This window comes from Homo sapiens, chromosome 6 (assembly GCF_000001405.40).
Source record: "Homo sapiens chromosome 6, GRCh38.p14 Primary Assembly".
In the NCBI taxonomy this organism is placed as follows: domain Eukaryota; kingdom Metazoa; phylum Chordata; class Mammalia; order Primates; family Hominidae; genus Homo; species Homo sapiens.
In genome coordinates, this window is record NC_000006.12 from 10,605,303 (window position 1) to 10,630,961 (window position 25,659).

The 25,659-nt window shown below is 42.9% G+C and overlaps 1 protein-coding gene across 10 annotated transcripts in view; it reads left to right on the forward strand.

Moving 5' to 3' along the window:
- The window catches only part of GCNT2 (glucosaminyl (N-acetyl) transferase 2 (I blood group)), a 108,018-nt gene extending 83,952 nt beyond the window's left edge, over positions 1 to 24,066 (forward strand). For 7 of the 10 annotated variants that reach the window (XM_006715052.4, XM_047418633.1, NM_145649.5 and 4 more), the window contains 2 exons: positions 16,049 to 16,141; positions 21,115 to 24,066. In XM_006715052.4, the coding sequence (XP_006715115.1) occupies positions 16,049 to 16,141; positions 21,115 to 21,305 (284 nt within the window). In that variant the 3' untranslated portion in view covers positions 21,306 to 24,066. Of the gene's footprint in view, positions 1 to 14,562; positions 14,757 to 16,048; positions 16,142 to 21,114 lie in introns of those variants that run through there. The other 3 variants (XR_926136.3, XR_007059235.1, XR_002956275.2) reach the window with 2 other exon arrangements.

Below are 25,659 nucleotides of genomic sequence, written 5' to 3' on the forward strand. Positions count from 1 at the left end.
CCTCCCAGGCTCAAGCCATCCCCCTACCTCAGCCTCTCAAGTAGCTGGGACGCACAGTACCACGCCTGGCTTTTTTTTTTTTTTCTTTGTAGAGACAGAATTTCATCATGTTGCCCAGGCTGGTCTTGAACTCCTGGGCTCAGGCGATTCATCTGCCTTGGCCTCCCAAAGTGCTGGGATTACAAGCGTGAGCCACTGCACCTGACCATCTAGGATATTTTAAAAAAATACCAATGTCTGGGCCCCACCTCCACCCAGGTATTCAAAATGCCTGGGAGATGGGGCCCTGTCATTGGTACTTTTAAAAAGTTCCATAGATGATTCTAAAATGGCAGCCACAGTGAGGAAACGCTGGTACACATGAAAGCTAGCGTCAGGGATAAAAACCGAAGAATGGAATTTACTAGTTTGTTGACTTGGCCCTCATTTATTCCCTACCATTTGCACCTGCTATCTACTTTGTAAAAGAAAAAAAAATCAGTTAAGATTTTCCTGGGAAAAAAAGAACTTCCTAAACTTGGTGGCTTGAAAAAAGTTTTTTTGTGATTCTTTGAGTTCTTCTGATCAAGGCCAGCTCCACTAGGGCTAGATGGTCTCGGATGGTATCACTCACCTGACCTGGCGTTCTCCCCAATGATCTCTCCTTCTCTGATGGGCTTGCCTCAGCTGCTTCACTTGATGGCCTCAAGGAGAGGACAAGCCCTGGTCAACAAATGTTTTTTAAGTCTTTGGCCAGGTGCGGTGGCTCACGCCTGTAATCCTAGCACTTTGGGAGGCCAAGGCAAGCAGATCACCTGAGGTCAGGAGTTTGAGACCAGCCTGGCCAACTTGGCGAAACCCTGTCTCTACTAAAAATACAAAAATTAGCCGGGTGTGGTGGTGCATGCCTGTAATCCCGACTACTCGGGAGGCTGAGGCAGGAGAATCGCTTGAACCCAGGAGGCAGAGGTTGCAGTGAGCCAAGATCACGCTATTGCACTCCAGCCTGGGTGACAGAGTGAGGCTCCTTCTTGTCAGGTTTGCTAATGTCCCATTGGCCAAAAGCAAGTCACATGGCCAAAACTAGATCCAAGAGGTAGAGAAACATTTTCCCCCTCTTAATGGAAAAGCTGCAAAGTCATACTGAACAATGACTGCATATAGCAGTGAGACAGACACATTTGTGACCATCTTTTGCAGCCTGCCACAACAAATCAAAATATATCCTTGTTTAGCAGAAACATATGATAAAGCAAGATATTTATTGGGATCTCTTTTAAAAATGAGTTTTTTCTAGTTAATTTTGAGAATGTACCTTTAACTTCCATTAAAGAAATTTAATGGAAATTTCCATTAAAGAAATTTAATGGAAATTTCCATTAAAGAAATTTAATAGTGGTTGAGAAATTTTTAAAATCGCCACCTGCCCAGCAGTGGTCATAAAAGTAACATTTTAAAAATAAAATGCAGAAAACGATAAAGACTAAAATAAAAATCATCACTAAACTCAATACTCAGAGATAATAGTTCAGTATATGTTTTTTATATAAAAGCATAGTTTTACATGTCTTTACTGGTTTTTATAACCAGCTCTCCTCATGTATTAGTCCATTCCCATTGCAATAAAGAAATACCTGAGACTAGGTAATTTATTTATTATTTATTTTTATTATTTATTTTTTTGAGACAGAGTCTCACTCTGTCACCCAGGCTGGAGTGCAATGGCGTGACCTCGGCTCACTGCAACCACCGCCTTCCGGGTTCAAGCGATTCTCCTGCCTCAGCCTCCCAAATAGCTGGGATTACAGGGGTGCACCACCACACCCAGCTAATTTTTTGTATTTTTAGTAGAGACGGGGTTTCACCATGTTGGCCGGGCTGGTTTTGAACTCTTGACCTCAGGTGATCTGCCGAGACTGGGTATTTTATAAAGAGAAGAGGCTTAATTGCCTCACAGTTCCACAGGCTGTACAGCAAGCAAAATCCTGGCATCTGCTCAGCATCTGGGGAATCCTCAGGAAACTTTCAAACATTGTGGAAGGCAAAAAGGGAGCAAGCATCTCACATGGCTGGAGCAGGAGGAAGAGCAGAACGGGGAGATGCCACACACTTTTAAACAGCCAGATCTCACGAGAATTCTATCACGAGACAGCGCTAGGAGGACGGTGCTAAACCACTGGAAAACGCCCCCACGATCCAATCACCTCCCACCCAGACCCCAGCTCCAACGCTGAGGATTACAATTCAACATGAGATTTGCGCAGGGACACAGATCCAGACCATTTCACCTCACCTAACAGTATGTCATGGCTTTCCATGTCATGAAGAGTTTGTCACCATAATTTTTAATAGCTCTGTAGAGTGCTATCATTTGAATGCAATATAATTTATTTAGAAAAGCCCTAACTTACAGACATTTGGGGGGTCTTATTGGTAATCAGTTGTTTTGTTAATAAAATTGATAATTAATGATGATAGATACTTTAACAGCACTATGTACCGAGCGCCATTCAGAGGGTTTTAAGTATATTATGTACTTCACAATAAGTTCACATGGTAAACATGCTGCTTTTACTCTAATTTTGAGATAGGGAAACTGAGGAACAGAGAGATTAGATAACCTGTCAGTGGTCTCACAGTTAGTAATTGACAGAGCAGGCACTTGAATCCTGCTTAGGTTCGAGAACTTGCTTAGGTTTCAGAATCTCTCCTCTGCCTCAAATAATAATTTATAAATAACTTCCTTGAGACAGATTCCAATAGATTGAAATGCTGAGTCAAATGGTATGCACTTTTTTTTTTTTTTTTTTTTTGAGATGGAGTTTCACTCTTGTTGCCCAGGCTGGAGTGCAGTGGCACGATCTCGGCTCACTGCAATCTCTGCCTCCCGGGTTCAAGTGATTCTCCTGCCTCAGTCTCCTGAGTAGCTGGGATTACAGGCATGCGCCACTACGCCTGGCTAATTTTGTATTTTTAGTAGAGACGGGGTTTCTCCATGTTGGTCAGGCTGGTCTCAAACTCCCGACCTCAGGTGATCCACCTTGCCTCAGCCTCACAAAGTGCTGGGATTACAGGCGTGAGCCACCACGCCTGGCGATATGCACATTTTTAAGGCTTTTAATCCAGAATGTCATATTGCTCTTCCAAAAATTGTACCAATTTATACTCCCACTTGCGGGTTTGAGGGCTCCATTTCACTCTACCTTTTCCACTATGGGGCATTATTATTTTCTAAATCTTTGCGAGCTTGATAAGTATAAAAAGAGGAATTACTAGGTGCAGTGGTACATGTCTGTAATCCTAGCCACTCAGGAGGGTGACATGGGATGATCCCTTGAAACCAGGAGTTCAAATCCAGCCTGCGCAATAGAGCAGAGACATTGTCTCTAATAAACAAACACAAAAAGAGAGGCTACCTTAGGGTTTTAACTTTAGTAACTTAGTTCCTAACAAGGTTGAGCATGTTTTCTTATGTTAGACATTTGCATAAGCCAAGGTGCAAAGAGCTGTGTGAAAATGGAAGACCAATTCAGGAATTCCCAGATGTGTGGCAGGACATTTGGGTGTGTGTGGACATTGTTGAAAGATGAGGCCTGGAACCCAGTGTTGCAAACTACATGTCAACAGGGCCAGACAATGTAGGTGAATGAAACACGTTGGGGCCAGGGTGGCCAGAGAGCTCCTGGATGCCTAAAACCCCGGTGAATTGTTGTCAAGGGACAATAGGAATTCAGACTTCCATAGAAAATCTGGTTTTTCCATGTTGGCTCAATTCCACCCTACTGCAGGGGTCAAACCAAACAGGCCTACCAATCAAATGTGGTTTATGGGCTCCCAGTCTGCTGTTTGTAGTCTGGAGGTGTCTTAGTTTATTTTCTGCTGTGTAACAGAATCCCTGAGACTGGGTAATTTATAAGAAAAGAGGTTTATCTGGCTCCTGATTCTGGAGGCTGGGAAGCTCAAGAGCACAGCAGTGGCATCTGGTGAAGGCGTTCATGCTGCATCATCTCATGGCATAAAGTGGAAGGGCAAGAGAGCACATAAGAGTGAGAACCAAGAGAGGGTCAAGCTTGCTTTTACAATAAATCCACTCCTGTGATAATGAGCCCAATCCTGCAATTATGAACCCATACTCAAAATAATGACATTAGTCCATTCATGATGTCAGAGCCCTCATGACCTGGTCAGTTCTTAAGGTCCCACCTCTCAAAACTGTTGCACTGGGGATCAAGTTTCCAACACATGAATTTTGGGGGACACATTCAAACCATAGCAGAGGGCAAGATTGTAAAAGCTCTTATGTGTTGTGGTCAGCATTTTGGGATCTTCCTGGCCGGAATGTGATCTATAGAACTGAAGTGATGGGTCTGGCCAGGGTTATAATTCTGAGGAGCTGGCTGGGGCAGTCTGCTTGGTTAGTGACAGTATGAAGCAAAGGAAAGAAATGACAGTTCAGAATCTAGCTCTTGAGGGAGGAGATAAGCATGAAGCTGGGTCCAGGGGAACAAATGTAGAAATGTAAAATGAGAAATGAAGTGAGGAGTTGGAATTCTGGTAAGGGTGGTAAGAGGCGGCAGAAGAGGTCTAGGATGAGACCAAGTCTGAGTTTGCTTGTTTGTTGGAGGGTGAGTGGTGGTGGGGCATCTCAAGCTGGCTTGAAAAATCAGACACAGGGTCAACCATTCAAATAGAAGGGTGACAGGATCAGTGCTGATTATAGGAAGAGCCATCTGGTGGTATTGACTGCATCTGGTGGAAATACTGCAGACAGAGAGACCCACTGGCAGGCAATTACAGTCTTCTTGATGAGAGATGTTGAGCACCTGAGTGAGGACTGTGGCATCAAAGGAAAGCAAAAGGTATGTGTTTGAGCAATGCTATTATCAACCAGCTTGGAGAACTGCTGGTAGATTGGAAATCCATTGGCGACTCCTGTACTGTGCAAAATTTCAACAGTCGTAGCTGGAAGGGAATAACTAGTGCATTAGGTTAATCGTGAAGGTGAAAGATTTTGAAGTATGGCAGGGTTTAGTGGAGCAAAGAAGGGAACATTCTCAGGCTACATGTCTGGGAATATGGAAGCTGAAGGCCTTCACCACCTCAGGAAAATCTGCTATAATTAGAAGAGTGTTTGACAAGAGCTAAAAATTATAAACAGCAGAGATGCATAGGCAGGCGGCCAATGGACCATGTCAGCATTGTAATGAAATCTGAACTGCTCTGAGCCAAGGATTGCCTATGTTTCTCAACTTTTTACTGACATTGCCTAGTCTTCACCAGAAGACTGTCCAAGAATGACTCTGGCTTGAAGGCATTTAGGCTGCTACTGAAGATATTAATAAATATAAATTCTCTAGATACATTAAGCTGAAAACCCCAAGAATATCCCATTCATGGCTTTACCTCCACCATCTACTCTGGAATGTTGGAGGCATGCAAGAAAGTATTTGAATAAGTGAGTAAATTATCTGGAAACAAAATCAACAAGTTCTTTAGCACATCTGCACTCCTAAACTAGAGCCTAGAAAATTCACTTAAATTTTCTAGGCTGTAGTTCACATAGCTTGGTAACGAGGGGGAGGCATTAGGAAATTTTTGAAATCCATTCAATTCTAAAATTCAGGGGTTTTCCTCCTTTCTTCATTTCATCTTTTCCTTTTAAACTAAGGAGTGAATTTGTTGGCAGTTATGCGAGATGAGTGCAGAGATGTCATATTAAGAATGCTATACCACTGTCTCAGGGACTACAAAACTAGAAACATCCACATCAAACAAAACAGGGTCTCTTTTAGTAAGTTTCTCGTGTTAAAAATCCTAAATAGGCCAAATGTGATGGCTCATGCCTGTAATCCCAGCACTTTGGGAGGCCAAGGTGGGAGGATTGCTTGAGTCCAGGAGTTTGACAGCCTGGGCAACATAGTGAGAGGAGAGCCATGTCTATTTGAAAAAAAAAAAAAATCCTAAGTGATCAATTGATCACTTGAACTGGTTCAATTGATCAATTGAACCAGTACTGGGTGGAAACAAATATATACTTTTAATTTCTTTCTTTCTTTTTTTTTTTTTTTGAGACGGAGTCTCGCTCTATTGGCAGGCTGGAGTGCAGTGACGCGATCTCAGCTCACTGAAACCTCCGCCTCCCGGATTCAAGCAATTCTCCTGCCTCAGGCTCCCAAGTAGCTGGGACTACAGGTGTGCGCCACCACGCCCGGCTAATTTTTGTATTTTTAGTAGAGACGGGGTTTCACCATGTTGGCCAGGATGGTCTCGATCTCTTGATCTCGTGGTCTGCCCGCCTCGGCCTCCCAAAGTGCTGGGATTACAGGCGTGAGCCACCATGCCCGGCCTATGTACTTTGAATTTCCAAAAATGACCCAAATTAGCAATCAGAATAAGAGGCTACAAGTTATTTAACACTACAATTCCCTGCCATTTGGTAATTTTCCATTTTTTTTGTTGTTAAAGTTAATTGAATTATTAGAATTAGTCACAAGCACAATTACTAAATTAATGAAGCAAATAAAGCTTAGATGTATATCAATAAACTTTTGTAAAAAATATAAAAGCAATACAACATTAAAGAAAGTTTTATAAGTAAGGAAAACACTGGTATTTCCTCCACTCACATTTCACATGCAAATATTTGTGCATGGTTTATTAATAGTATACAATTTCATATTCTGGTGTTTTTGTGGGGTTTTTTTTTTGTTTGCTTGTTTTTTTGATTCAGAGCCTCACTCTGTTGCCCAGGCTGAAGTGCAGTGGTGCAATCTCGGCTCACTGCAACCTCTGCCTCCTGGGTTGGAGCAATTCTCCTGCCTCAGCCTCCCAAGGAGCTGGGATTACAGGTGTGTGCCACCACGCCCGGCTAATTTTTGTATTTTTAGTAGAGACAGGCTTTCACCATGTTGGCCAGGCTGGTCTTGAACTCCTGACCTCAGGTAATCCACTCCTCTCAGCCTCCCAGAGTGCTGAGATTACAGGCGTGAGCCACCGCGCCCGGCCTTTGTTTTTGTTTTAACTTTAGATCAATCATTCTTAACCAGGGGTGATTTTGCACCTGAGGGGACATTTGGCAATGTCTGGAGAGATTTTGGTCTGTCACATCTGTGGTTGGGGACCTGCTACTGGCATCTAGTGGGAAGAGACTGGGAACACTGCTAAACATCCTAAACGACATAGGTCAGCCCCCACGACAAAGAATTACCTGGTCCAAATGTCGATAATGCTGAGGTTGAGAAAACTGCTTTAGATTATAGTAAAAAAAGCGGTCTTTTCCACAGAAACATTATCCCCATGATTTTATTAAAGGGATTATATTTTCAACCATGTATTTAGTGGTTATGTATGCCAGGCATTGCAAAGCACTGTACACAGATTTTTCTCATTTAGCCCTCCCAAAACCCTGTGAGGTTTTAAAGACGAGTACACCATGTCTTAAAGAGATTCAATAGTTGTTCAGAGTCATACAGTTAGTGGTAGCAATGCTTGTCTCTCCGACTTCAAAGCTGGTGCTGTCAGTTATCGTGTGTAATGTCATAATGAACATCTTCATATACGGATTTCTGCATTTTAAAAGTCCCTTCCGTAGCTTATTTTGAAGATATTAAAGGGTCAAAGGGAATTGGCAGTTATGGTGGCTTTTCCTACATGTTTCTAAATTGATTTTCTACAGCTGAACCAATTTCAGCACTACCATTGAATTGTGAGAAAGCCCTTTCAATATATTCTCATCAGCATTGACTATTTAACATTTAAAAACAAAATTCCTTGTTTTCTTAAGAAATTAAAAAGTATATATGTGAGCTTAAATAATAAGCAATTTCTGGAACTTGTTACCACAGATAGTTCTCCCAAAATGAGGACCAAACTGTGTAAGAATAATGAGAACGTCAAGTCAATATAAATAAAGCTTGCATTTCAAAGAATCATGTTTAACAAACGCAGTTATTTGACTAAGAAAGGCTGAGCCCCAAGAAAAACATTCCTGGTTACTCTGTAAACTTTGCCTCAAATGCTCTGTTTATATAAGCCTATGAAGAGCAAATGAGAGAATTGGATTTTATAGTTTAAAATGTTTTCTCAGATAATATTGACTTTTTTTTTTGCCCTGTCCTAGAAATAATGAAAAATAGGCCTTTGCTAGGATTCTTGTGAATGAAGGGTACGGTCCTACCCATACTCCCCATAACTACCCTCCCAGAGTCCTGACAAAGAATAGTGATAGTGATCCTAACAGCAAATATAATAATAATAGAATCGAGTCCAGTATTTTTCCAATACTAGTTGTGTCCCATTAGAGGATACAGAAATCACTTTAGTAGTTTTTGATCAGAATTTTTAAGATGAAACTAGACCAGAAAACAACATAAAATTAACAAGTGCATCGCATGTAATAAGCACAAGTATTGTTTTATGAAACTTGTTTGCTTTATATACGTGTGTGTGTGTGATGGTATACAGTGTTTTTTCTGTGGGTTGCAGTCTAAAAGGTTGAAAAGCCACTGATCAGATTTACCTACTTCATTTGAGAGGTGAGGTTTGGAGACGTTGGATGATGTCCAGGGATACCCAGCTGGTTAGTGGCAAAGCTGGAATGAGAACGGAAGTTCCCTAATCCCTAGGCCAGTGTCTACTCCATCAGGGTGCTCAGCCTGGGATCAGTCTCTGGCAGCAGGCAGGAAACAGGCTTAATAGAGAGGCTTTTAGGGAGTAGAGAAGGAGCAACTGGACATTGGCAAGAGTGATGGGACTGGTAGCTTTGGGATCTCCATGTATCTTTCAGCCCAAGCCAAATTAAATTACTTACTGAACAGTGAGCACATTGTACATTCAGGGTCTTCAATCTTAAGCTTGCCATTATCTCCTCAAAATAATAACCAAGTGATGCTTACTAGGTATTCAAATTGAGCTGTCACCAGAAGTCTTGTTGAATATTTTCTCACTTCCCTAAGCAAGTTGAACCAAGCAGGACAGATATGGAGAATGGATGATTGCTGATCACCCAGGTCATTATTGAAGGGCAAATTGAAATGGGTTGGTGCTTGCTAAGAAGGTAGAAGAGGCCGGGCACAGTGGCTCACGGCTGTAATCCCAGCATTTTGGGAGGCCAGGGCGAGTGGAGCACTTGAGTTCAGCTCAAGACCAGCATGGCCAACATGGTGAAACCCTATCTCTACTAAAAATACAAAAAATTAGCTGGACGTTAGTGGCACGCCCCTCTAGTCCCAGCTACTTGGAAGGCTGAAGCAGGAGAATCACTTGAAGCTGGGAAGCGGAGGTTGCAGTGAGCTGAGATTATGCCACTGGACTCCAGCCTGGGCAACAGAGCAAGACTCTGTCTCAAAAAAAAAAAAAAAAAAAAGAGAAAAAGAAGAAAGGTAGAAGAAATGCTTTTTGGTACTGAGAAGTAGAGATTATTACACCTTAAGTTGCCATGTCCTATTGGGAAATCAAGACAGCATCCAGGCCCGTCTGATCCTCACAAAACCTAAACGGTCCTCCCCATCAGCACTAAAGACTGACTGAGTCAATGGGGCCACCCTTGCATTGGGAATGGACGCGCGTTCATTCCTTTAACATTGGTTGAGAGTCTCCTGGTGGCCAAGTGCTATGAAGTCAAAGGCACTGTGAGAACTGGTCCTCTGCTCAGTGCAGCTTTTTCCTATAACAGGTGGGCTGATGCCTTCAAGGAGGTGATGTGAGAGATCCGTTAAAATGCATATATTCCTAGCAGTGGGAACAAGTTAGTTACAATTAACCCAAGGATATAGGGACCAGATTCACTCACAAGAGAAGATTTTGAGTGAGAATAGTTAGTAAGAGACTAACCTACAAACCTGATGAAGACTGAGGGAGAGAGGTCAAGGAGGGGAGGAAAAAAGGACAGTGCTGTTGCTCCCCAGGACAAGCTGCATCCTCCTCCCAGTGTTGCTTACAGCTGAGAGCTACTCACACTTGATCACACACAAGAATCTTCTGGGGATTTTGTGAAGATGCTGACGTTGGATGTTGATACAAGAGGCCTGGCGTGGGTCTCAATTTCTTTTTTGAGACAGGATCTCACTGTGTTACCCAGGCTAAAGTGCAGTGGCCTGATTTTGGCTCACTGCAGCCTTGACCTCCCATGCTCAGATGATCCTTCCACCTCAGTCTCCCGAACACCTGGGGCCCCAGGCGCACATCACAACACCCAGCTAATTTTTGTATTTTCATAGAGATGGGATTTCTGTATGTTGCCCAGGCTGGTCTGAAACTCCTGGATTCAAGAGATCTACCTGCCTGTTACAGGAAAGGGATCCCGATCCAGACCCCAAGAGAGGGTTCTTGGATCTTGCAAAAGAATGAATTCAGGGTGAGTCTTCAGTGCAAAGTGAAAGCAAGTTTATTAAGAAAGTAAAGGAATAAAAGAATGGCCACTCCATAGACAGAGCAACCCCGAGGGCTGCTGGTTGCCCATTTTTATGGTTATTTCTTGAAGATACACTAAACAAGGAGTGGATTATTACCCCCGTTTAGACCATAGAGGGCAACTTCCTGACATTGCTATGGCAGTGGTGGGAGTGTAGCAGGACGACCAGAGATTGCTCTCATCGCCACTTTGGTTTTGGTGGGTTTTGGGCGGCTCCTTTACTGCAAACTGTTTATATCAGCAAGGTCTTTATGACCTGTATTTTGTGCTGACTCCTGTCTCATCCTGCTATGTCTGGAATTGGTGGGTTCTTGGTCTCACTGACTTCAAGAATGAAGCTGCGGACTCTCGCAGTGAGTGTTACAGTTCTTAAAAGCAGCGGGTCTGGAGTTTGTTCCCTCTAATGTTTGGATGTGTTCAGAGTTTTTTCCTTCTGGTGGGTTCGTGGTCTCGCTAGCTCAGGAGTGAAGCTGTAGACCTTTGCAGTGAGCGTTATATCTTTCAAGGCGGTGCGTTTGGAATTGTTTGTTCCTACCAGTGGGTTCGTGGTTTTGCTGGCTTCAGGAGTAAAGTTGCAGACCTTCGTGGTGAGTGTTACCACTCATATAGGCTGTATGGACCCAAACAGTAAGCAGTACAAAGATTTATTGCAAAGGACAAAAGAACAGCACTTCCACAGTGTGGAAAGCAACCTAAACAGGGTACCGCTGTTAGTTTTGTCAGCCTGCTTTTATTCTCTTATCTGGCCCCACCCACATCCTGCTGATTGGTCTGTTTTACAGAGAGCTGATTGGTGCATTTACAATCCCTGAGCTAGACACAAAAGTTCTCCACCTCCCCACTAGATTAGCTAGACACAGAGTGCTGATTGGTGCATTTACAAACCCTGAGCTAGATACAGAGTGCCGATTGCTGCATTCACAATCCCTTAGACATAAAGGTTCTCCAAGTCCTCACCAGAGTAACTAGATACAGAGTGCCGATTGGTGCACTCACAAACCCTGAGCTAGACACAGGGTGCTGATTGGTGTGTTTACAAACCTTGAGGTAGATACAGAGTGCTGATTGCTGTATTTACAATCCCTTAGCTAGACATAAAGTTTCTCCAAGACCCAACCAGAGTAACTAGACACAGAGTGCCAATTGGTGCATTCACAAAACCTGAGCTAGACACAGGGTGCTGATTGGTGTGTTTACAAACCTTGAGCTAGAGACAGAGTGCTGATTGGTGTATTTACAATCCCTTAGCTAGACATAAAGGTTCTCCACGTCCCCACCAGACTCAGGAGCCCAGCTGGCTTTACCCAGTGGATCCCGCACCAGGGCCGCAGGTGGAGCTGCCTGCCAGTCCCACTCCGTGCGCCTGCACTCCTTAGCCTTTGGGCGGTCGATGGGACTGGGCACCATGGAGCAGGGAGGGGTGCTCGTTGGGGAGGCTCTGGCCGCGCAGGAGCCCATGGCGGTCGGGGGGAGGCTCAGACATGGCCGGCTGCAGGTGCTGAGCCCTGCCCCGCTGGGAGGCAGCTAAGGCCCAGCGAGAAATCCAGCACAGCAGCTGCTGGCGCAGGTGCTAAGCCCCTCACTGCCCCGGGCGGCGGGGCCGGCCGGCTTCTCCGAGTGCTGGGCGCCCCCAGCCCACGCCCACCCGGAACTCACGCTGGCCGGCAAGCGCTGCGCGCAGCCCTGGTTCCCGCCGGCGCCTCTCTCTCCACACCTCCCAGCAAGCTGAGGGAGCTGGCTCTGGCCTTGGCCAGCCCAGAAAGGGGCTCCCACAGTGCAGCCGCGGGCTGAAGGGCTCCTCAAGTGGGGCCAGAGTGGGTGCCAAGGCCGAGGAGGTGCCGAGAGCGAGCGAGGGCTGCTAGCATGCTGTCATCGCTCACCGTGACTTAGAATGCGTAACCATCTGGGAATGCGGTCCAGTAGGTTTCAGCCTTATTTTACCCAGCTCCTATTTAAGATGGAGTTGCTCTGGTTCACAGGCCTCTGACACCTCAGCCTCCCAAAGTGCTGGGACCACAGGCATGGGCCACTGCACCTGGCCAGAGTCTGCATTTCTTCTTTTTTTTTTTTTTTTTTTTTTGACACAGGGTCTCACTCTGTTGCCCAGGCTGGAGTGCAGTGCTGCAACCTCGGCTCACTGCAACCTCCACCTCCCAGGTTCAAACAATTCTTCTGCCTCAGCCTACTGTGTAGCAGAGACTACAGGTGCGTGCCATCACACCCGGCTAATTTTTGTATCTTTAGTAGAGACAGGGTTTCACCACGTTGGACAGGCTGGTCTTGAACTCCTGACCTCAGGTGATCCGCCCGCCTCGGCCTCCCAAAGTGCTGGGATTACAGGTGTGAGCCACCACGCCTGGCCAGATTCTGCATTTCTAACAAGCTTCCAGGTGCTGCTGATGCCCCTACTCTTAAGAGCCACACTCAAAAAGCAAGGCTTTGTGCCCACTCCTGCCACTTTCTGCGCCTCAGAATTCTTTGCAAAAAGAGTAGAATTCAACTTGTTCTGTTTGCCCTTCTTTCCCCTTCTGCTTTTAAAAATGTAATGTTTTAATGCACAAACATGCATAATATGTAAGCACATACGTGTTTGACACCTGTCATCAAACAGAAAGTATTGAAGTTGAGGTTTGGAATTTCAGTAACACGAGGTTAGTAGGTGTTATGTGTTCATTTTATAAAGACAGCAGGTAATTAATTATAAATGTCACGATCTTACCTCTGCAATAATGGAATCTGTTTCTGAGTAAGAGTCAGTTTGGGATTATCAGTATTAAAGAGAATGAAAAAGGAAGAAAAATGTCTTGTGCTTTCAAAAATAGTCATTTCAACATTAAATGACTTTTTGTCATGGGAATGTACTCTTCATACTTTTATGATGTAGTTATTTAATAGACATTGGCTCATAATAACACGTCAGCTAAGCACACAAATGTCGGTAAATAAGCCAGATTCTCTCTTTGCTTTCCAGACTCTCCTTCTCCATCCCACAGCTTCACCGGACAAGTTTTACTCCAAATTCTTTTAAAATGTGTGTTAAGAACAAAACAAGGTAGCTTCCTTTAGATAGGCAAGCATCAAAATAATTGTAAAGTATTAAAATGCAAGTTAAAGAAATAGAAATATTGCTTAATAGTGTTTTTCTTGAATACTTGAATACTTTTATTAAATAAATTCAAGTTTAGGTAGCAAGAAGAAAAGACTCTTGCCTTATAGAGAGCCCTTAGGATTTAAGACTCATGCTGTTTACAGGAAAAGCTGTAACAAAATTTAATTTTAGTTAGGAAACCTGGTTACAAATCAGATCATCATATAATCATCATATGACATCAGGGCAAAAGAACAGACCTTTTTTCTTCTGATCTTCTGAAAATGCACATTTTTATTAATATTTTTAAAAGCCTAATTCAATTAAATTTCTTCAAAATATTGGTCTTGTCCAATTTTTTCTTTATTAAAAACTATTAAAAATATTCATTGTCTTAAGTAGCTTTTTTCTTCTTTTATTTTAGGAATGATCCCTCTCTTGTCACCCAGGCTGGAATACAGTAGTACTCAAACTCACTGCAGCCTTTAGCTCCTAGGCTCAAGCAATCCTCCCACTTCAGCCTCCCCAGTAGCTGGGACTACAAGAGTGCATCACCATGCTTGGCTAATTTAAAAAAAAAAATTGTGGAGATGGTGTCTTTCTGTGTTGCCTAGGCTGGAGTGCAGATGTGCAATCATTGTTCACTGCAGTCTCAAACTCCTGGGCTCAAGTGATCCTCCTGCCTCAGCCTCCTGAGTAGCTGGGACCACAGGTGGGAGTCACAAAGCCTGCCTAATTTTTAAAAAAATTTTTAGTAGAGATAGGGTCTCACTATGTTGCCCAGGCTGGTCTCGGACTCCAGACCTCAAGCAATCCTCCCACCTCGGCCTCCCAAAGCACTAGGATTACAGGTATGAGCCACTGTACACAGCCCTTGAGTCGTTCTTTTTCTCATTAGCATGTGTATTAGCTTTTTACCTGGCTCTGCAACAAATTACCACAAATTCAGCAGCTTCAACAACATAAATATATTGTCTTACAATTCTGCAGGACAAAAGCCTGACCAGGCTGAAATCCAGGCATTGGCTGGGTCAGGTTCCTGTCTGTAGGCTCTGAATACAATCCATTTCCTTGCCTTTTCTAGCTTCTAGAGGCCACTCACATTCCTGGCTGGTGGCTTCTTCCCCCATCTTCAAACAGCAAAGGCAGAGTCAGAGTGGAGCCTTCTTACATCGTGTCACTCTGTCCAGCTCTTCTGTTTCCTTCTTCCAATGTTGAGGACCCTTGTGATTACATTTGGCTCACCCAGATAATTCAGGATAACCTCCCTATTTTAAGGTCAGCTGATCAGCAACTTTAATCTCCCTTTGCTGTGTAAAATAACATATTCTCAGGTTCCAGGGATTAGGATGTAGGCATCTTTGTCTGTTCTGCATGTGTGTGTTTGAGGGAGTGAGTGGGTGGAGGCCATTATTCTGCCTACCACAATATATCTTATCAGTAATTAAAAAGAATCTTCTAAGAGAGGACTATTGAAATTTGGGTACAGATAGCATTTGCACAGTGCCATTGCATCAAAATTCAGATTGCATTACTCACTGGTGGAAAATGCTGTAACTCTAAAGCAAAGTATTTCTCTTTTAGTTGCATTTATGTTGACTCCCATGTTTTCCTTTTCTTTTTTTAATTTTTTTTTTTTATTTTGAGACAGGGGCCTGCTCTGTAACCCAGGCTGGAGTACAGTGGCACAATCATGGCTCATTGCAGCCTTGACCTTCCTAGGCTCACATGATCCTCCCACCTCAGCCTCCTAAGTAGATGGGACTACAAGCACGTGCCACCGCACTCAGCTAATTTTTTATTTTTTGTAGAGACAGGGTTTCATTAGGTTGCCCAGGGATCTTCTTACCTCGGCCTCCTAAAGTGCTGGGATTACAGGCATGAACCACTATGTCTGGCAACTTCTTCTCTAGTAATGATTTATATATTATAATCTTGGAGTCTAACTATGATTAAATAGACCCTTCAATCTCTATGACCTATCCAAAATTTATTTCATAGACAGGGTTATTGAAAAACACTTAGCACAGTGTTTCTCAAATGGGGTGATTTTGCTCACCCACAGGACATTTGGCAATATCTGCAGACATTTTTGGTTGTCACAATTGAGGAGAGGGTGCTATCGGCATCTATTGGGTAGAGGCCAAGGATGCTGCTAAACATCTTACAAAACACAGGACAGCCCCCACAACAAAGAATCATCCAGCCCAAACTGTCAATCGCGCTGAAGTGGAGAAACCCTGGCTTAGCAAGATGCCAACCTACAGCACCCCACCCCTCAACCGAATTAGGTATTAGTAAATGGATCAGAATTGTATTAGTATATTGATTTGTATATTGATTGAATTAGATGTTATACTAATTAGATGATGAGTCAACAACTAAAATTCTGGTCAAAAGATCAACTGGAGGAAACAGAAGATGGGTAGATCAGTACATACCAATCTGTGTGAAATGCGAAAGGTAATAAACTGAAAGAAAGTAAGCCTGACTTAGAGGCTTAATTGATGAAATTGATGCCCTTCTCTCATGACTCTCATCTCTACGCTTCTTCTTTATCAACATTGCAGGTGTTCCTGGCTCTATGCCAAATGCATCCTGGACTGGAAACCTCAGAGCTATAAAGTGGAGTGACATGGAAGACAGACACGGAGGCTGCCACGGTGAGGCTCTCGTTCCATGCTTCTAGGCCACTGCCTGTTGGTGTTAGCAGGAAGGTAGCTGTGGAATCCAGGGTTCTCATGGAGAGAGAATTGCTGCTATATTTAGACCAATCTGTTAGTTATTGGAGAAGCCAGAGGCTTCAAGACACAGTCCTTCAAAAATAAGTTTAAACATCTCATTGATGTTCTCTAACTTATAATTACCTAGGGAGATGGAAAAATGGGTTCAAATCAGGGCGGCATGTTTTTCTTCCTGCTAGTTTTCAGCTTTCTTTCTTTCTTTAGAGACAGGGTTTCACTCTGTCATTCAAGCTGGAGTGCAGTGGCATGAATGCAGCTCACTGCAGCCTCAACATCCTGGGTTCAGGCCTCACACCTCAGCCTCCCAAGAAGCTGGGACCACAGGCGTGCACCACCACACCTGGCTAATTTTTTTTTTTCTTGTAGAGTCAGCTTTCTTGTTTATTCCTCTTGCTGTGCCTTCTGGGAGTCCAGCTGTTCAGAGGCGAAAGCCATCAGGAGGAGAAGTGATGTCATGTTGGCACCGCAGAGAAAGCTGGGCCCCCAACCCTCAGGCCAGTCCCTGCTCCCCCTACAGGCAGCCTTCCCAGTGGCTTGGAGAGCTGTCGGGGTTTGCACAGCTCTGGCATGATGGATGGCAGGTTACACTAGCAAGAAGGGTTCCCCTCCAAATGGAAAAGAACTAGAAATCCTAAGTCATTTCCATTTCTATAGAATTTTGTGAAGGAGAGTTTTTATCAGTCCTGGCACACACTGCATTCAGAATATTGCCCAGCATATACTGGGCATGAGTATTAGTTTGCTAGGGCTGCCATAACAAAGTGGCACAGACTGGGTGCTTAATAGAAATTTATTTAGTTCTAGAGGCTGGAAGTCCAAGATCCAGGTGTCAGCAGGGCTGGTTTATTAAGGCCTCTCTGCTTGGCTTGTAGATAGCATTTTCTCCCTGTGTTCCCACATGGTCTTCCCTCTGTGCGTGTCTGTGTCCTAATCGCCTCTTCTTCTAAGGAGACCAGTCATATTGGATTATGGCCCACCCTAAAGGTCTCATTTTAATTTAATTACCTCTTTAAAGACCCTGTCTCCACTCTGAGACACTCAGTGTTAGGATTCAACATATGAATTTAGAGAGACAAACAATTCAGTCCATAATATGCAATAAATATTTATTTAGTAAGTGATTGTTTGAACAAATGAATCAATGAATGAATGACAATATGGTGGTTTGGCCTTTTCTCTCTATGGCAACGAGACTTTGCCTCTACTCCTCAGTCCATCTTTTTTTTTTTTTTTTTTTTTTTTTTTTGAGATGGATTCTCGCTCTATCACCAGGCTGGAGAGCAGTGGCGCCATCTCAGCTCACTGCTGCAACCTCCACCACCCAGGTTCAAGTGATTCTTCTGCCTCAGCCTCCCAAGTAGCTGGGATAACAGGTGCATGTCACCACGCTCAGCTAATTTTTGTATTTTTAGTAGAGACGGGGCTTCACCATGTTGGCCAGGATGGTCTCAGTCTCTTGACCTCGTGATCTGCCCCCCTTGGTCCCCCAAAGTGCTGGGATTACAGGCGTGAGCTACTGCGCCCGGCCCCATCTTACCTGCACCTAAATGTTAAATGTTTCAGGTGAAAATCTCCAAGTTGCTCCATCTCTACAACTCTCCATTACACCAACCTCTTTCTCATGTGTCTCTTGATGGTCTCATCCCACTGTGGACAGCAATGTTTTCATGCAACTGTAAAGAAATTTTGGTCCATTCTGAAGCATGTTAATATATTTAATCAGCCTGTATTTTCTCCAGGGGACAGTGCATGCCACCTGCCTACATTATTTTTTTTTTTTTTTGAGATGGAGTTTCACTCTTGTCACCCAGGCTGGAGTACAAGTGGCACAATCTCGGCTCACTGGAACCTCCGTCTCCCGGGTTCAAGTGATTCTCATGCCTCAGCCTCCTGAGTAGCTGAGATTACAGGCACCCACCACCACACCCAGCTAATTTTTGTATTTTTAGTAGAGACGGGGTTTCACCATGTTGGCCAGACTGGTCTCAAACTCCTGACCTTATGATCCACCTGCGTCGGCCTCCCAAAGTGCTGGGATTACAGGCATGAGCCACCGCACCCGGCCTGTACTACCTTCATCAGCCCTCTTAGCACTTAGAATGATCTTCAACTTGGAGTGCCCATCTCTGATTACAGTGTCTTTGTCACCTCTACTAGTTTCCTTCACCTACTCACATCCTACTTATTTTACTGTCTTTCTTCCCAGAGCAGAAGCTCCAAGACAGCTAGGATTTTTGACCAGTTTGTTCACTGTTGTGTGTCCACACCTAAACCATGTTGTTTTTGGTTTGAATTGGGATTTCCAGAGGTTCAACATTTCAAGCTTTTTCCTTCTATGAGCTTCCTTCTGAGGACTCCCCGTCTGACCCGTGTATTGTAAGCCACTACAAGATGTCCTCACCAACATTTTTGGTCCTTTTGCCATTTTGACCCTACAAGGCTGATTCCTAACCCTAATCATTACCACCATCTGCCTTTTTTGCCGTTTGTACTTCCCTAGGCAGAGTATTGGTGGGGAGTGTTGCGGAACTCTCTTAAGACAAACCCACCATTGGGTCCTGTCATCTACCTTCAGCTAGGCCTCCTGGCTACCTACTTATCCTTTTGTTTACCTCATTATTTTCCTAGTGCCCTTCCTAAGGGACACCTTTTCAGCTTTCCTGCTCACCTTTAAGCTCCCAAGGTGTATTAGTCCGTTTTCACACTGCTGATAAAGACATACCCAAGACTGGGTAATTTATAAAGAAAAAGAAGTTTAATGGACTCACAGTTCCACGTGACTGGGGAGGCCTCACAATCCTGGCAGAGGGCAAAAGGCACATCTTACATGGTGGCAGGAAAAACAGAATGAGAGCCAAGAATGAGAGCCAAGCAAAAGAGGAAACCCCTTATAAAACCATCAGATCTTGTGAGACTTACTCACTACCACAAGAACAATCATGGGGGAAACTGCCCCCCACGATTCAACTATCTCCCACTGCATCCCTCCCACAACACATGGGAATTATGGGAGCTGCAATTCAAGATGAGATTTGGGTGGGGACACAGCCAAACCATATCACAAGGTTATGCTAAAACAGCCTTTCTATTCTCAAAAGCGACCATTTCAACTTGAAAAAGAACATTCAAGATATGTGATCAAAATTCATCATCTAGTCCCTTGTCAGGTCATCCTGCCCCACCATCTTAGAGCTGTGTGGACACCTTCTTTCATTGTTCCCTCCTGTTTCAAGAGGACAAGTCACCCATCCTCCCAACAAAAGCCGCCAGCTATGGTCTCAGCTATCTGTGGGCCCCCTCTCTCAGACCCTTGCTCTTTTGCATTCTCAGCCTCTCCCTTTCTGCTGCCTCTTTTCCTTTTCTCTGAAAGCCTGTACTCATTGCCCCTATCTTGAAGACATCGAGTTGTCTATGAACCTTCTGCTTTCTCCAGGCCGAAATATTCTTTCCTTGTTCACTTCCATTTCTTTAAGCGTGTGCTTAAGGCCTGTGTTTTTGGTTCTCGCCGCCTGGTCATTCTTTCACTTCCTACAATTCTGGCTTCTTTCCCCAATGACTTCTACTCTCTATTATGCTTCTTCCCAGCCCACTGAATTAATCACCATGTTCTATCTGTCCTTCTGTACTAGTGTCTTCAACATCCTCCCTTTCCCACTCATCACAGACATTAACTTTGAACAAGCTCTCCAGTTTGTGTTATTACTGCAGCCTCTTGGTTTCTAATGTACCTTGCAAAACACTTCAAAATTAATCTTGCTAAAATGAGTTTCATCACTTGATTCTTCTCTTCAAAAATCTTTAAGGACTGTCCATACTTGTGAGACACAAGGCCCAACCCTTCAGTCTGTGAAGTCAGTCAACCAGCAATTGTCCTGTGTGCCCAGAAGAATCTCTGGAAAATGGTTGCAACTTCCTACCATTCTTGTTTCTAACCTATTCCCAACAAAACCCCCTCTCCCAGCAGGAAGTCCCCACCCCAAAAGCTATTGAGGTTAAAAAAAAAAAAAATTTCAATATTGACGTGTTACATCACTGAGGTTTATCACACATCTAGGCAGAGGTGCAAAGTAGGCACTTGGATAGACCAGAGCTCAGGAAAAAGACTTACTCAACGCAACCCATAAAGATCTCTCCCACCTGTACCACTGTAGGACTTCTCATCTGTAACTCTCATTTAGTAATACCGTAGGCCCCCCTTATCCACGGGGGGATACATTTCAAGACCCCCAGTGGATGCCTGAAACCACAGACAGTACCGAACTCTAAATATACTTTGTTTTTCCCTGTACATGCATATCTATGATAAAGTTTAATTTTTGAAGTAGGCATAGTAAGAGGTTAACAATAATAACTAATTATAAAATAGAACAATTATAACAATATGCTGTAATAAAAGTTATGTGAATAAAAGTTCTGTGAATAAAAAAGTTATGTGTAATAAAAGATATATGCTCTCTTTCTTTCTCAAAATATCTTAATATTTTTGGATCGTGGTTGACTTCGGGTAGCTGAAACCTCAGAAAGCAAAACTGCAGATAAGGGGGGATTACTGTACATGAATGACCTTGTAACACCTATTATGTTACTAACACAATTTTCATATTAATTTTGATATACACAATAATTAACATAATTAAAATATTAACACCTGTTACTTTATGCCTTGTATGATTTAACTCTCATTTTTTTCAAATAACATATTTGTACCTCTTGTTCTTCTAAATAGAGTTCCAGTTCTTTGTGGGCTGAGACTGCACAATCATATTTCATTTGAATCCTGTACCATTGGCACAGTTGTAGTTAGTCGGAGAGTACCTCTAGTATTCTGTAAGTTCATCACCCTTTTGAAAGCAAGCATGTTTTGACTCTGTTTCTTGTTCTTTCTTTTGCAGGCCACTATGTACATGGTATTTGTATCTATGGAAACGGAGACTTAAAGTGGCTGGTTAATTCACCAAGCCTGTTTGCTAACAAGTTTGAGCTTAATACCTACCCCCTTACTGTGGAATGCCTAGAACTGAGGCATCGCGAAAGAACCCTCAATCAGAGTGAAACTGCGATACAACCCAGCTGGTATTTTTGAGCTATTCATGAGCTACTCATGACTGAAGGGAAACTGCAGCTGGGAAGAGGAGCCTGTTTTTGTGAGAGACTTTTGCCTTCGTAATGTTAACCGTTTCAGGACCACGTTTATAGCTTCAGGACCTGGCTACGTAATTATACTTAAAATATCCACTGGACACTGTGAAATACACTAACAGGATGGCTGGGTAGAGCAATCTGGGCACTTTGGCCAATTTTAGTCTTGCTGTTTCTTGATGCTCACCTCTATATTAGTTTATTGTTAGGATCAATGATAAATTTAAATGACCTCAGATCTTTGCACCAGATACTCATCATATACAAATGTTTTAGTAAAAAAGAGAATTGTAGATAATACTGTCTAGGAAAATAAGAATTAGGTTTCTTTGAAGAAGGAATCTTTTATAACACCTTAACAGTCACCACTGTGCTCAACCAGACAGATAGTGAAACAGCTTTCTGGGTAATTCACCAATTTCCTTTAAAACATAAGCTACCTGAATGGAGAATACATCTTGTTTCTGAGTTTCAACACTAGCATTTTTGGCTTACTCATGGACAAAGTTCTGTATATAGTATAAAGTCATTAACAAGAAACAGGATATGCTTTAAGACAGAATTCACTGTCTGTTGCTTCAGTAAAAGGACCTCGGGGAATAAAACATTTCTCTCTTATATGCCAGAATGTAGGCTGGTCCCTATGTCATGTCTTCCATTAAGAACACTAAAAAGTCCTTGCAAGAATGGAGATATGCATTCAAGAGAGGTGCTATCACATAGATCTAGTCTGAAGTCTGGAACACTTTCCTCTTCTATGACCCCTCTCTCCCCAGTATTATCTTACTTGCAAAATGGAGACCAAATTCTATCCTGTGAGGCTTTTAATTGCACCATAGTATGCTCTGAGTAGCTTTACACTGCCTGGTACTGATAGTAGTGGCTCGATTTTTAAGAGCCTTCAATTGTAGATGAACATCTCTGTTATTTATCCCTCATTCATCCATCCGTTCATTCATTCAGCCTTCAATCAACATCTCTTGAGTGTCTATTATGTACAGGACATGTACTGAGACAAAAAGGAAACATAAGAGCTTTTTCACTCTAAAAATCTTGGCAATAATGTCAACACCAGAAAGCCTCCTCTGGAGAATCTTACAGAGTGATTGTAGTTTAATACAGGAACACACAGGGCTGTGTAGCATGATACCAGGCCCAGGAGATCAGTAATTACAAATTAAGGGTTAAATCAGAGATTATTCAACAGAGAGGGAGAAAGGAGGAGACAGAGGGAGGACCTGTTGTGTTCCAGCCATTCTGGTATTCCTTTATGTATCTAATTTCATTCAAACCTCACAACAGTCTTGTGAGGCCCTTATATAATTACTCCCATTTTGCAGATGAAGTAACTGAGGCTTAGAAAGGTTAATAGCACCGGGGAACAATTTCTCTGGGTGAGAATTGGGACTCTGTTGCTGGTCTTCTCAGTTCATTTCCTGAGGTGGATTTACTGAGAGAAGGTGAAATAAAGCCATATTTAGTATACCAGAGAAGGTAGATTTTAAGAATGGTCTCAGTGTTAATACTGAGAAAAAGTCCTGTCAGTTCAGAAAAAATGTGAAGTCTACTTTAGTATTCCTGTAATACTAAACCGTTGAGTTTCTAAATATTTATTTATTCTAACAAAAAGCAATTACTACAAATGGATGACACATTTAATGAACACAATTTTATTTTTTTTCTGTAACTGTGCTTGTTGAATGTCAATCATATTTAAAGGGAATGACTTTGAAGTAAAACCTTTTTTCTTGCTACTGAAAAAAATGGAGTTGTTTTGGGTGGTAAAGTGTTAAGGAATAGGGACAGCTGGTCACACAAGGAACTCTTGAAGGCCACATGTGAAAACCTGTCACTTGCACAGAGGCCAGTCCCACTAAGGTGACCAGAGTGGGCTCCAAGCACAAACTGCCATTGGCTATAGATGGGACTGTGTCCCCCCAAAATTCATGTGTTGGAGCCTTAACCCTCAATGTGATGGTATTTGAGATGGGGCCTTTGGTAAGGGAAGTTTAGATGAGGTCACGAGGGTAGGACCCTCATGATGGGATGAGTCCCCTTACAAGACCTCTGGCTTGGGCCGGGCGTGGTGGCTCACACCTGTAATCCCAACACTTTGGGAGGCCAAGGCAGGTAGATCACTTGATGCCAGGAGTTCCAGACCAGGCTGGCCGACATGGTGAAACCCCATCTCTACTAAAAAATATAAAAATTAGCCGGGCTTTGTGGCATGTGCCTGTAATCCCAGCTATTTGGCAGGCTGAGGCATGAGAATCGCTTGAACCCAGGAGGTGGAGGTTACAGTGAGCTGAGAGTGCCCCACTGCACTCCAGCCTGGGTGACAGAGCGAGACTTTGTCCCAAAACAAAATAGGTGAGGGGATAGCGAATGCACTCAGGGTCAGCAGTGGAGTTTAAAAATTGTCTCTTTTCAACTTATTTAAATGACAGCACCTGAGAAGAGGAACCGTTTTACACTGGATGTTTCTCATGTAGAACAAGAAATCTTTCTGGAATTGATGTTTACATGTCTGTTGTTGGTCATCTCTCCTGTGTCTTAAATACTTTAATGTTGGAAGAGCATAGTGTTTGGGCTAGTGGGTTTCTGACAGCCCATGGGAATGCCCTGAAACTACTGTATCTGATGTTTGTTTTCGATGAGGTTCCATGTTTTGTTTTCTTGGGAATAAATTAATATATTGTTTTCCACTTCGGGGATACTGTGTATTTTTATATGACAATTGGTTAAAAATCCACTAAAGGATATGTCTAACAAGGCAATTCTCCTGGTGTTAAACAAAATTTACATTCATTCATACATACATGCATACCTGTCTAAGAAACATCCATCCACTGAAAAATCATTAAACTTTCCCATTGTGGGGTGTTGGAGAGAGTAACTGGGAGTGATAGAGAGAAGAGGGCGCAATAGAAGATCAGTGTCATTTGAATTGGGTATAACTTTTTTTTTTTGGTAAGAGTACAAGTATTTTTAAAATTTGAGACAGGAATAAGTTAACTTATTATTTACCTGCCTCTATTGTTCATTTAAAAAAATCAAGATATACATTAGGAAAAAGTTTTATGTTAATATTACCATAATTACTGATCAAGTGCCAATGTTTTTGAGCAGCATTTCAATTGTAAGTTTGATAAATATTGCCTCTAACAGACACATGGAAAATGATCAATACTAAAAAAAAAAAAAAAATCATTTAAAGGACATCTTATCCATCATATTTTTTCAAATAAAAATATTTTAAAGCTAAAGCGAAAAACATTTTAAACTATAATAAATACATACATGCTCATAAACATGGAAATAATGAAGAATATAGAATAAAAAGTGCACTACTTTCTCCAGACATAATCACTTATTTGCTTTTTTTGGTTTTTGTTTTTCTGAGACAGAGTCTCACTCTGTTAACCAGGCTGGAGTGCAGTGGCACAGTCATGGCTCACTGCAACCTCAACCTCCTGGGCTCAGGTGATCCTCCCACCTCAGCCTCCCAAGTAGCTGGAACCACAGGCATGTTCCACTGCACATGGCTAATTTTTGTATTTTTTGTAGAGACAGGATTTTGCCATGTTATCCTGTCTGGTCTCAAACTCCTGGGCTCAAGCGATCCACCTGCCTCAGCCTCCCAAAGTGCTGGACTACAGGCTTGAGCTACCACACCTGGTCAAGTGCTTTCTCAGTGTACTGATATAATCTATAGCAGTGCTGTCCAGTAGAATTTCTGCAATGATAAAAATGTTCTACATCTGCACTGCCCAATATAATTGCCACTCACATAAGCTAATGAGCTCTTGAAATGCAGCTAGTATGATTGGGAAATATTCTTTAACATTTTATTTGGCTTTAATTTTTTTTTTTTTTTTTTTGAGATGGAGGGGACTCATCCAGGCTGGAGTGCAATGGCACAATCTCGGCTCACTGCAACCTCCACCTTCCAGTTCAAGCGATTTTCCTGCCTCAGTCTCCTGAGTAGCTGGGACTACAGGTGCATGCCACCACGCCCAGCTAATTTTTGTGTTTTTAGTAGAGAGGGGATTTTGCCATGTTGGCCAGGCTGGTCTCAAACTCCTGATCTCAGGTGATCTGCCTGCCTCAGCCTCCCAAAGTGCTGGGATTACAGGTGTGAGCCACCGTGCCTGGCCAGCTTTAATTAATTTAAATAGCCACATATGACTAGTGGCTACCATTGGACAGCAGAGTTATAGAGGCAAACAATAGTTATATGTATGTGCTTGTATATACAGTGTATATACAGTGGGCATACTAAAAACAGATATACTGGC